Source organism: Homo sapiens, chromosome 6 (genome assembly GCF_000001405.40).
Source record: "Homo sapiens chromosome 6, GRCh38.p14 Primary Assembly".
In the NCBI taxonomy this organism is placed as follows: Eukaryota; Metazoa; Chordata; class Mammalia; order Primates; family Hominidae; genus Homo; species Homo sapiens.
This window is the reverse complement of record NC_000006.12, coordinates 136,957,256-136,970,630: the sequence shown is the minus strand read 5'-3', so window position 1 is coordinate 136,970,630 and position 13,375 is coordinate 136,957,256. Positions and strand designations below refer to the sequence as shown.

The following is a 13,375-nucleotide window of genomic DNA, read 5'->3' as shown; positions in this document are numbered from 1 at the left end:
TTTTTAACTAATTTTTTTAGCCTCATTCTGAGCAAATAAATTTAATACACAAGATGTATATTTCTAACACACTTGAAGATATATGTACAACAATTTCATCTGAAAATGTTTTTCTTCAATTAGCTGGGCATGCTGGCATGTGCCTATAGTCCCAGCTACACTGGAGGATGAGGAAGGATGATCACTTGAGCCCAGGAATTCATGGCTGCAGTGAGCTATGATCACCACCACTGCATTCCAGCCTGGATGGGAGAGCAGGGCCCTGTCTCTAAAAAAAAACAAAGAAAAAGAAAAAAGAAAATGTTTGTCATCACACATGAAGTCATTTCAGAATACCTATGGTACAGGTGTGACACTTGGGAAGCATAATTACATCATTCCTTCTACTAGGACCAGTCCATGCTTGGGCTGCATGGACTATAAGACCTCATTTTGCTTTGTGTACTGCTATCACTCCTATTCATCTTAAGAAAACAGTCATTAGATGTGCTTAATTGCCTCAGCATTTCGTATCCAGGGAACGGCCTGCACCCACTTCTTTGTCATCCAGATAATGATCGCAGTTGCACAAGGTGTGATGAAACCAGGCCCAGATCATGCGTGCAACTCAACAAAGACAACAAGCCAATCCATGGACAGATACTAAAATATTTATACCATACAGTGCTTAGGAAGGATTTTTCAGGGATGGAGACAAGAGCAAAGCCCTATGAAGTTAGCGATGTTCAGCACACAAGCTCACCCATCTCCCCATAGTGCTGCTCCCGTCCCAGAGGGCCTACGGAAGCCTGCAATACTCCCTCTCCTGTCTCCCTTTTCCCCAAGATGGAGCCTGGGGACTCTGCAAGGTCAAGGACACCAGGCAATCCCCAGCCAGAGACCTTGCTAGCCTCCTATTTGCTGCCACATAAAAGCAGCCTTTTCTAAGGCCAGACACCAACTCCCTCCTCCACCCCACGCGCTACACACAAACTTTCATCACCATGAATTACCTGGCAGTTATTAAGTGAGTCATATGGCACACAGAGATAGAGTATGTCAGAGGTAAACGCAGACGTTTTCCAGTGACTAGGCTGGGGCCAGCCCTCTGGGCAATTCAGGAACTCTCTGGACACCCAGTTTCTGCTTCAACACTAAACAGAGGCCACCACCTTCGTTACCCTCCTCACCCACCCTATAGCTTACAACCTGATGGGCAACCATATTTGGGTATAATCAAAGGGCTGTATCCTAGTCCTTTGTCTGTCTGTTACCAGCCAACGGCGTGACCCCAGACAAGTGTCACTCTCTCAGCCTTATTTTCTTCTTTTGTAAAATGAGGAGTGTGTTTGATGGGATTCCTAACGTCCCTTCCAAACTAGCATACTAGTTCTAGTTCTTCCGACCTGATTCTAACGACCTCTCTTCTCCATGACAACCCTTCCAACATTTAACTGTAGTGTTCAAGTCATCCCTTCCTCTGCAAACATCCCCTTCCCTTCCACACGTCCCTGTCACTCCTGGTTTCCAGATCCCTCTCTGCTCTGGTCATCCTCCTCTGGACGGGGGCCAGCTCATCAGCTCGGTTCAGATAAGGGGCACAGCAGAGCTTGCCTGGGACTTCTTCCAGAGCACCTGCTCATTGCCAGAACCAAGGCTGACTCAATTAGAACATCTGGTCACCTTCCCGTCCCCTGGCGCCTCCTCATCCTGTGGCAAAACCACTGGCTTCACAGATATAGTTAGATTTAAATTATTAGCCATTAGGAAAAGACAGAAAGGTACCCGCTGGCTAGGCATGGTGGCCCAAGCCTGTAATCCCAGCACTTTGGGAGGCTGAGGCAGGAGGATCACTTGAGCCGAGGAATTTGAGACCAGCTCGGGCAACATCATGAGAACCCCATCTCTACAAAAAAAAAAATAGAAAATTAGCCGATGTGGTGGTGCACACCTGTAGCCCCAGCTACTCAGGAGGCTGAGGTGGGAGGATCACTCGAACCTGGGAGGTTGAGGATGCAGTCAGCCAAGATGGCGCCACCGCACTCCAGCCTGGGCGACAGAGTGAGCAAGTTTTTGTTTTGGCGACCCTGCCTCAACACAAAAACAAAAGCAAAAAGTTACCCGGTAATGCATAACCTCATATTTTCCAAGGCATTCATTTAAGGAAAAAGAAAAACATGAAGAAAACTCTTTGTAATAAGTGCTGTGAGGCGCCTCAGCTCCTCAAACAGCAAGTCCCAGCGGGGAGAAAGCCATGGCTTCTGCAGTTACAGAAAAAGCACCCACTAGGCTAGGTGAGCACAGCCAAGAAGATATTGCTGCCACCGTGTGGCGACAGTTGTTATATTACCTCTGTCCAGCCCCGGAAGGACTTAGGGATGAACGGCTGAAGAAAATACGTATTGGCTGGTTTCCATAATTAGGAATCCTGAGACCGAAAATTAATGAAGACAGCACACTTGACCAAAATGTCACCAGATTGGTTCTCCTGTCTGCATTCTTCTCATCTCTCAGACCACTCACCTTCCTCCCAGCCCTCTTTAACATCGGGAACTAAATGTGCTTTGGACTAGACCTTGCGGCATGACAGTCATCCCTATGGTAGCAAGTGTGGCAGCATCTGACTGCCAATCTCCGACTCCCACCAGAGTGGGGAGTGATTTCTGAACCACAGAACCCATCTTTCTATCTCTCTCTCTCTCTCTCTTTCAGTTCTTAACCTTCTGTTACGTTCCTGGGACAGATCACATGTGTGAACCTTCTTGTCTCTTTGCCCCTACATGAAGGGGGTGTAAGCAGTGGCTAACTGAAGGGGGTGTAAGCAGTGGCTAACACCCTTTCTTGGTCATTTTGCACATCCCTTCAAGCTAGTTAGCTTAACCCCCTGGTCCCGTGCCCCAACTAACACCAATGTAGAGAAAATGTCTTTGTCCATAATCTAAGTGGAAGATGGAAATCTGACTTCCATCTCTGCAGGAAGATGAACTGCCCCCTGCCCCCTTTTTAATAGTATTATGGCCACAGATTGCTGTCCTGTGTGATCTCCACCAAGAACTCTACCTGGAGATCTCCAGGCTGGATGGTGGCTCCAAGGAGGCACAGTCATGGCATAGTGGCTCTAGGGGTGCACACCACAGCTTCCTATGGTAGGTCCCTCCAGATTCGGACCCTATGTGCCTGTGCCTGTGTCTATGCCGGTCAGCAGCATCATCTTCTTCCCTCACAGATGTGTCCCTTTTCCTTCTGCATGCCCCACTGCAGGGAAGTAGAAGGTTGGAGGACCAATGTACAGGAGCAGGGGTGACTATGTGTATCTGATCTAGTGTAATCCCTGGGTGTGGTTCTAGGAAGTTTGTCAACCTTAAACTAATTTACTTCCCTATCACTAATTCACGAGTTCTATTGACTGAACAAAAAGTGCAAAAAAAGAAGGTAGTGAATTCATCAATCATAGAAAAGGGCTATATTAAGCTTACTGTACAGCTCAAACTGATATTTACCTAAGCACCTTCCCCAGACAGCTATAAAAATAACTGTTGCCATCACAAAGAGAAAGAAAACGACCTAACTGTTCTGGTTAAAAGGTGATGAGGGGCCAGGTGTGGTGGCTCGCGACTGTAATTCCAGCACTTTGAGAAGCGGAGATAGGCAGATCACCTGAGGTCAGGAGTTCAAGACCAGCCTAGCCAACAAGGTGAAACCCCCATCTCTACTAAAAATACAAAAATTAATTGGGCGTGTGGCACATGCCTGTTGTCCCAGCTACTTGGGAGACGGAGGCAGAAGAATTGCTTGAACCTGGGAGGCAGAGCTTGCAGTGAGCTGAGATTGCGCCACTGCACTCCAGCCTGGGCAACAGAGTGAGACTCTGTCTCAAAAAAAAAAAAAAAGAAAAGGAAAGAAAAGAAGAAACAAGGTGATGAGGAGAAATCATCTAGAGAAGGGAAAGAGATGGAAACATAAACAAAATGAAACATACTAAATATTCACTACATGATCTGGAGCAGAGGATAGAATCACCTGCACATCACAAACCTGTACTTTCTGAGGAGAAGGATTTACAAACTAACCCATTCCCAAGTGAGGCTGCTTAGCCACATGCAAGATGTAGCGTCATGGGAATTCATCCGGGCAGTCGCCTCCCAGGTCTTGTGAGCGCCACCATCCTGTTCTGGTCCCTCGTGTGCAGTGAGGCACAGATAGATATATGAAATTTCTAGAATAAGATCTGGAAAGAGCCACATCAAATGGTGACAGTGGTTACCTTGGGGAATGGAGGTGGGGAAAATAAGAATAGAGAGAGATAATTAATGGGAACATTAACCTATTACATCTTTTTTTGTTTGCAAACAGAATGTATTCATTTATCACTTGTGTGATTTTTTTAAACACATTAAAGATATTACAAAATCCAGTAGAAGGAGTATGGACGTAAGTTGTACTACTTGGCCTACCTGGGCCCCAGCTCTGTCTATATCTTACTGGTGGGTCTAGCTTTGGGCAAGACACTAAAATTCTTGAGCCTCCATTTCCTCATCTGTAAAATGAAGGCATTAATATGTAACTCACAGGGTTGCTGTATTGATTGAGATTATAATAGCAACTGAAATACAGTTGGTCCTTAATAAATGCTTAAGAAAAGAGAGATCGTGGTTGGACACGGTGGCTCATGCCTGTAATCCCAGCACTTTGCGATGCCGAGGGAGGTGGATCTCCTGAGGTTGGGAGTTCGAGACCAGCCTGACAAACATGGTGAAACCCTGTCTCTACTAACAATACAAAATTAGCTGGGCATGATGGCACATGCCTGTAATCCCAGCTAACCGGGAGGCTGAGGCACGAGAATCACTTGAACCCAGGAGGCAGAGGTTGCAGTGAGCCAAAATCGCGCCATTGCACTCCAGCCTAGGCAACAAGAGCAAAACCTGTCTCCAAAAAAAAAAAAAGAAAGAAAGAAAGAAAGAAAAAGAAAAAGAAAGAAAGGAAAAAAAAGAAAAGAGAGTCCATTACCCAGATCAGAGGTGATGAAGGCTTATAAAGATGGTGGCAAAGAAGATGAAAAAGAAGAGAAAGATGGGAGAGACATTTCAGAGACATGACAGAAATGAAGGCGATTTGCCAACAAAGCCAAGGCTTAGGACCCTGCACCCCCATGCTATCCCAAGCTGACCTTTGTGCCTCTTTTCTCTTTCCAGGCTGCTAGGATGTTGCTGTTGTGTGAGAATATGAAGGGGGATGAGAAAAAAACAATGGAATGGAATGAATTCAAGACCAAATAAAGTCCGTGGTGAGACTTTTAAATATTCATATTCGTCAATGGCAATTTTGTAAAAGAATTTGCAATGCCCCTACTTTCTGTAAATGAGTGGGTACCCCCATCCTAGGGATATCCTCATCCTAATACCTCTCTTTAGGACAGCCTGTCTCTCCCTCTAAGCCATTCTTGGTGGAGATGATACCATCTTCCAGAAGACAAAAATTGTTCTTGGGAAACAAAAATATCTTACTATGTTAATGTGTAAGGCACAGATACACACAGAGTACACACGCAGATAAGCAGTATGTTTGTGGTATTGAATTTTGTGGGGAGGATATCAGAAAAAAAATCTAAAAAGGTTCTTTAGAGAGGTGACAAAAAAAGTCAGGAAACTCTAGTCTATACCCTAATCACCTTTGGAGCAGGGATTCTGAATTCACGTTCACTGTGGAATTCTCCTTTGGGAATGTCTCCATTGTGGAATGTCTCCATTGTGGAATGTCTCCACTGGGAACATTCAATGGGCTGAAATGATAAACAATGTGAGCTGGCTTCCTTGGAAGTCACTTAGGTAGTGAGGTGTTGTGGCCAATCTCGTGAAGTAACCTTATAAGTTACTTCCTCATGAAGTAACCTTAAAAGAGAGCACCTTCTGGAAGCTCCCCTAGGCCTCCCCTCCAGTATCGTCTCATTTGCCTGACTTGAATGAAGTGCCTTTTCCAGAACCAATCACAAGCAAGGGACTGAAATACCCCTGAGACCTGCAGGACCTGGACCTGGAAGTGTTGGCTTCCCCTGAGGCACAGACACCGCCCAGGGGCAGGGGAGTGGCAGGGACCCAAATAAAATGAGGGTTCTATAAGGAAGGAAAAAGGAATGAATAGACTTTGGTCTAGGTGGGGCAGAAAATGGTGTCCATGTAATTACTGACTCAAATGTTCCCAAACAGTTTTGTTAAGAGAAACAGGCTTCTACCTTGTTACCTCCATATTTTATTAGCTTTTGACAGAGCAAACAATTTTTAAAGTTGTGATTTTGGTCACATTTATTTTGGCTAGCTATTAATTTAGACACTCGAACCATAGTTGTATCTTTTCACATCATATGCATTTCACAGTATGTTGTGGTCTCTTATTTAAGCAATGTGAGAGGTGAGAGAGAGAGCACGCGTGTATGTGTCTTAGGATTTTTCTGGGGACAGGAATAGCATGTTAAATAGGGAACATGGATCTGAGAACCTGGGGACCAAGGCTATTATTGCCTTCACTTTACTGAGTTAAGTGGGTGACAGCAGGCAAGTTAAGTGGGTGGCACCCAGTCCTCTGAGCTTTGATTTTCTCACTTCTTATTAAATAAAGAAAAGATTATCAAAGTCTCTGCCATCTCCCAGATTCTATGTCTTGGAATTTGCTTTTTTTTTAAGCTATATTATAGATTATAGAAGTTTGTAGGGTTTTATTTATATTGTTGCTTTGGCTAACTATTTGGAAGCTTATTAGTAATTATTTCTGATATTTTGAACAGAAGCAAGCTCTCAATTATAATATTGTTTTGATGGAAAAATATAATCTATTTAACTATAAAACCTTGTCACATCACAGTATCCAAGAAGAAATATTTGCACCATCAGATGAAGCCTGCTATATTCAGTTTTAAATGAACACATTCAATCTTTTGGCAGGATGGATGGATGGATGGATGGATGGCTGGATGGATGGATGGATGGACACACAGATATCTGAATGAATACATGTTCTTGCTGTTTGATCTTAGGTATAATTCACAGGTGACACTGAGGAAATTAAGTGGCAGGTGTATGTCATTCAGCAATTAGGAACGGTTGGACATTGTCCCTATTCTAATAATAGGCCTATGGATGGTCTGCAGCTTGAGTCCACATCAGCAGCACACTCTATTTGTCAGCTTCCCAAAGGACATTCTGGCATTTTCATTAGACTCTGCTTTCTTTCTATTAACACATCTGAACAGAATGTGCCCTTGCAAAGGGAGGCCAGTGACAGCATTTAAGTCTGTAATGTCAAAGAAAATCTCCAGTGGTAGATACACTTCCCTGGTCTCTTTTCCCTTAAGGATTATGAGATTTATATACCTAACGAGTCAGAGTGTGTTTTCTTTCTATGCAGTATCCCATATCCAAATAAATAATGAAATAAATACATAAGCACAAACACCACATGCACCTTTTGCCATTTACTGAGTCAGTAAGATTTTGACATTAGTAAGAGCAGCAATGAATTATGAATGTTTCTAAGAGAAATTTTTAATCCAGGAGGACTTTTTAAAAGGCACTTTTCGATTCTGGCCTAATAGATTAGTATAATCAAATAGCTGTTGTTTAAATTATTTAGTTATTCCCAACTAATATATAAAGCCCAACTGACAAAAACCAATTCTAAAATCCAGGCTGAAAAACTCCACTGTCTACGCTTCCTCATACTCCCCATTCAGTGGAAGATCTACACTGTCAACACCACATTGTGATTGTTGCTTTAGCTGCCACTTCCTGCAGCTGCCATCTGGCTGATTAGAAGTGGGGAAGGCCTATGGTGACAAGCCCTCGGGGCATTTTTCCAACCCTTTAGGAAACAGAAGGAAACGCTTGGGACTCTAATTACAGACTAATAAATAGTTCAAGCAGCCTTAAAAAGAAGAGGTTGTGGGTCCGAAAGGAGTTGATCCCTTCATCTACCATATTCCACACTCTCTCTTAGTGCCCCTTTTTCATTTTAGAAGATTCCCTATTCTTTTCTTTTTTGTCTTTCCTTTCTTTGTTTTTTTTAAGATGGAGTCTCACTCTGTCCCCCAGGCTGGAGTAGAGTGGCACAATTTCAGCTCACTGCAACCTCCACCTCCCAGGTTCAAGCAATTCTCCTGCCTCAGCCTCCTGAGAAGCTGGGATTACAGGCGTGTGCTACCATGCCCGGGTAATTTTTGTATTTTTAGTAGAGATGGGGTTTCACCATGATGGCCAGGAGGGTCTCAAACCCCTGACCTCAGGTGATCTGCCTGCCTCAGCCTCCCAAAGTGCTGGGGTTATAGGCGTGAGCCACTGCACCCGGCCCTTTCTTTCTTTCTTTCTTTTAGTTACAAATCTGAATGGCCAACCCATGGCCCCACTGTTAGAACCTAAGCATTTCTGCTCTGCATCACGCCTATGACCCTACCCAATGATTCATTTATGAGTGTCTATTATGCACCAGGTGTGGAACTAAATGATGGGAATTCAAAGACAAAGTAAAATCTTGCCTTGAAAGTACTTAAAACATAATCGATCCAATACCCTTCACTATCTTTATTTATCTGCATCTCTCTCTCTCTCTCTCTCTCTCTGCCACTGTTTATTTTGGCTCCATGTAGCCCAGAAGTTAAGAATACAGGCTCTGCGCTCAAATGGGACTCGAATCTCAGTTCCACCTTCCATCCCCACACGTCCAGAGTTCTTGTCCTGTTCATATGTTCAGTAACTTACTCATGGTCACACAGCTTTTAAGAGGTGGAACCAGAAAGGGACAGAGCCATGATCCAAAGCCAAGCAGTCTGACTTCTGATTCCATGCACCAAACTACAGTGCTTGTTAAAAACTGGGGAAAATATTTCAATATCTGTATCAGACGAACGGTTAATATTAAAACCTTTTCTGCTTTTCCAAAATACACACATGCTATTTTTCACTTAAAAATGTATAATGTAAAGTTCCTTCCAGGTTCTTACTATACTTTTTTTTTTTTTTAAGATAGTCCCACCCAGGCTGCAGTGCAGCAGCGCAATCTTGGCTCACTGCCACCTTCACCTCCCAGATTCAAGCAATTCTCATGCCTCAGCCTCCCAAGTAGCTGGGATTACAGACATGCACCACCACACCTGGCTAATTTTTGTATTTTTAGTAGAGACAGGTTTTGCCATGTTGGCCAGGCTGGTCTCGAACTCCTGGCCCCAAGTGATCCTCCTGCCTCGGCCTCCCAAAGTGCTGGGATTACAGGTGTGAGCCACTGCACCCAGCCTTAATATACATTTATATAATTATTTTAATAATTTAAAAATCCTATATACATGTAATCCATATAGTCCAGCTATACATATATGTATAGCATACATATACGTATATCTACAAATATATATGTATTATATCATAGTATTTATTATTTATATGTTTATAAATATATATTTATATATTTAACCAATCTCCATTGTTGAGCATTTAGGCTGTTAACAATTTTCACTAGTATAAATCACAGTGGCCATACTCCTGATAAACACAGGTATATCTATGTCTATTTATTTCTTCAGGATAAATACCTACAAGTAAAATGCCAGATCAAAGAATATTCACTTTCTAATACTTTTAAGAGCTGAAGCCCAAGCGCCCTTCGGGAAGCCTCAAGCCAACAGGATGTAAGAGCATCTGCTTCCACCACACCCTTGCCAATGCTGATAAAATTTTGTCAGACTGAGAAGTAGAAGCTTTTCAAATATCTGTTTCTATTGATTAATAGTTGAACATTTCTTTGTTAGGTAATAATCATTTGTAATTCTTTTGCAAATTGCCTTTCCTGTTTTTTTTTCTAATAGAGTTTTGAAATTTTTCTTATCGATTATAATTTTTTCCTTATTATTTATATTAACCTTTTGTCTGATACAGATGTTGAAATATTTTCCCCCAATTTTTAATAAGCTTGGTAATGGAGAATTTTTTTGCCCTATAAAAGTTATATGTGGCTGGGCACAGTGGCTCACACTTGTAATCCTAGCACTTTGGGAGGCTGGGGTGGGCAGATCGCTTGAGCCCAGGAGTTCAAGACCAGCCTCAGCAACATGGTGAAACCCAGTCTACAAAAAATACAAAAATCAGCTGGGCATGGTGGCATGCGTCTGTGGTCCCAGCTACTCCTTCTAGGGAGGCTGAGGTGGGAGTATCACTTAAGCCTGGGAGATGGAGGTTGCAGTGAATCCTGATCCCGCCACTGCACTCCTGCCTGGGTGACAGAGCGAGACCCTGTGTAGCAGGACGAGCCGCAGACAAAACTCCTCTGACACTGGGTTAAAGAAGGAAGGAGCTTTATTTGGCTGGGAACTTCAGCAGACTTGCATCTCAAAAGCCAAGCTCTCCTCACTAAGCAATTCCTGTCCATTTTAAGGGCTTACAACTCTAAGGGGGTCCGTGTGAGAGTGTCCTGATGGATTGAGCAAGCAGGGGGTACTGCATGCACCAGTAATCAGAACAGAACAGAACAGGACAGGGATTTTCACAGTGCTTTTCCATACAATGTCTGGAATCTATAGATAACATAACCGGTTAGGTCAGGGGTCGATCTTTAACTACCAGGCCCAGGGCGCGGCACTGGGCTGTCTGCCTGTGGATTTCATTTCTGCCTTTTAGTTTTTACTTCTTTCTTTGGAGGCGGAAATTGGGCATAAGACAATATGAGGGGTGGTCTCCTCCCTTACCTGTACCCGCCCCCAAAAAAGAAAAAAATGATATGTGTGTGTACACGAGGCAGGATATTTGCCTGACCCCTTTGTGGGACTCGAGACAGGGGTGCATCGTTTACTCAGCCCACAGCTCTCCACTCCTCACAGGAGGGAGTGCACGAGCAAACAAGGCGGGGACTGGAGTGCACGAGGCCTGGAACTGGCCAGCCGCTTCGGCACCAGCAAGAGCAAGCTCTGTGCGGGCCCCATGGCAACATCCAGGTGGGGGTGCCTGTGACACCTGGAGCCCCAGAGGGCGTGTTACAGTGCTCTCTTAGCTCTGCTGTCCTCTGATGGCTTAAGTGTTAACAGCTCAGTGAGCCCTTTGCCTCGTCGTGTGAGACGACTGCCCTCCACCAGCGAGGGCAAAGGGCCAGTGTGACAGCCTTTTATGTCCACACTTGTGGCTCCCAAGCTCTTGTCTGGCATCCAGGAAAAATGAGGTCGCATGAACGAATTGAAGGATGGTAAATGCAGGGGATTTTATTGCCAAGGAAAGTGGCTCTCAGAGGAAATGGGAGCTGAAAAGGGGATGGGGGGTAGGTAATCTTCCCCTGAAGTCCAGCCGTCTCCTCTCAGTGGAAAGGGGAGCTGAAAAGGGGATGGGGGATAGGTAATCTTCCCCTGAAGTCCAGCTGTCTTTGGCCAGATTCTTCTCCAAATTCTTCTCTGAAGCTCAAGCTGTCCCTCTGAAGTCAAGCTGCTTCTCTCCAACTTCCAGCCCTAGACCCCAACGCCCAGCTGCTTCTCCTCTCTGTTGGCTGAGTCTGGAGTCTTCTATGCACAGGATAGGGGCAGAGTGGGCCATAGGTAGTTTAGGGAAAGGCAGCATTCACATGGGAAAACAGGGATAGAAGTTCTCACTTTGGACCACGGGTTTCAGGCTTTTTGGCTTGAGGGTGAGATTTCGTCAGGGACCACACTTTTCTGCCTAGAATTTCTCTGCCCCCGTCCCTATCATGCATATAAATGGCATTCTCGATGCCAAGATTATACCTATGTTCACTTATATTAGGATTGTCGTGCAACCACCAGAAGCATGACTGACATCAATAGAGGGAAATAAGGCATTGTAACCTAACCAGATAGAAATATGACTAAATTGAAGTATTTCCACTTTTTAAATAATAACTTTATTTAATTTTTAATAACTGAAAAGATGGGAAAGAAGCAAAATATCAGACTCATCAAGAAATGATTCCACAGATCCTTATCTGGCAGCTCAGAATAATTGAGTGACTTGGCCAAGGTCATGGTATTAATGGATGAAAGGGATTTGAACCATGACCACCTGGCATCAGAGTCTAAACTCTACATCATTTAACTTCTCTGAAAAACTAAGTCCCTTATTCTATCCCCACACCCTGTAGTTCATCCTTACTCTATTCATGGCTTTTAAGAGCTGAAGCCCAAGCGCTAGAGCCCAGAGCTAAAAGAGCACTGTAACAAGCCCTCTGGGGCTCCAGGTGTCACAGGCACCCCCACCTGGATGCTGCTTAATCGCCTAGATGCTTACTCTGGCCGGAGAAACTTTGACTTCACCTGTGGATGTCAAGCTCCTGCAGGTTCTTAGGAGCGTTCTGGTTGTTGGCAAGATTGCCTTCCTTTGGGCTTTTTGAGTTGCCGGCTTTGGTGGTGAACCAGTGCATTGGCTCCTGACTGCTACTTACTTTTCAGGGCTTAGTGAAAAATGACAATGTGGGGTCCCTTTTGCAAAAACCAAGAGAAAGGATTTTTCTTTCTCCCCCTCACGGTTTCTCTCTTGCCCCTTCCTGGTGCTTGTAATTTGCTATGTAATGCCACACGCCCACCGGCACAATACTGCAAGGTGAGTGCAGATCCTCAGAAGCAAGGGGTTGGCGTGGGGGGCAGGGGGTGAGCATGCGCATGAGACCACCAGGGCCTGCACTGGGGCAGGGGGTGGTTGCAGTGGGGGAACCTGGAACTGGGTGGGTGGATGGTGGGGGAACCCGGGACTGGGTGGTCGGGGGGAGCCTGGGACTGGGTGGGGGGTGGGAGGGGAGCCTGGGGCTGCATGGGTAGGTGGTAGGGGAGTCTGAGAGTGGGTGGGTAGGTGGTGGGGGAGTCTGGGACTGGGTGGGTGGGTGGGAAGGGAGCCTGGGGCTGGGTGGGCGGTGGTGGGGGAGCCTGGGACTGGGTGGGTGGATGGTGGGGGAGAGCCTGGGACTGGGTGGGTGGGTGGGGGGGTGGAAGGGGAGCCTGCAGCCAGGGCCAGGAAAGGCAGGGGGGTGGAAGGGGAGCCTGCAGCCAGGGCCAGGAAAGGCAGGGAGGTGGCGGGAGGCTCCAAGGTCCCAGCTTCTGCTCCATCATCCCATTAGGACTTCACTTAAAAGACACCATGTATTCAAAGATAAATCAGAATTCCAAGACGGTGGCTGCAGACATTGGGAGTGCGGGGCCCCCTTCTGGGCTCAGAGGCTGTGTGCCAGCACTAGTCGCAGGCCTATGCAGCCGGCCCTGCCCCAGCTCCTCTTTCTCCATTGCAGTGCCTCCTCCTTGAGCTCCAGTCGGCCTGCATTGGGCCGTAATTAACTTTTTTCTTCCTCCCCTCCTAACCACCCCAGCCCACAGCCCACAGCCCACTACCCACAACCACTGAGCTGGCTGAGATAAGCACAAACAGCCACA

At 45.5% G+C, this 13,375-nt stretch overlaps 2 annotated features.

Annotated features, from left to right (window-relative positions):
* Positions 11,802-12,368: an enhancer, noted in NCBI's record as "H3K27ac-H3K4me1 hESC enhancer chr6:137279401-137279967 (GRCh37/hg19 assembly coordinates)". NCBI's record gives its function as "activates a minimal SCP1, AML or CMV promoter by ChIP-STARR-seq in primed H9 embryonic stem cells {active_cell/tissue: H9 hESC(primed)}" and the evidence as "EXISTENCE:reporter gene assay evidence [ECO:0000049][PMID:30033119]".
* Positions 13,046-13,340: a silencer, noted in NCBI's record as "tiled region #8118; K562 Repressive non-DNase unmatched - State 12:CtcfO". NCBI's record gives its function as "represses a minimal TATA promoter and a strong SV40 promoter by Sharpr-MPRA in K562 cells {active_cell/tissue: K562}" and the evidence as "EXISTENCE:reporter gene assay evidence [ECO:0000049][PMID:27701403]".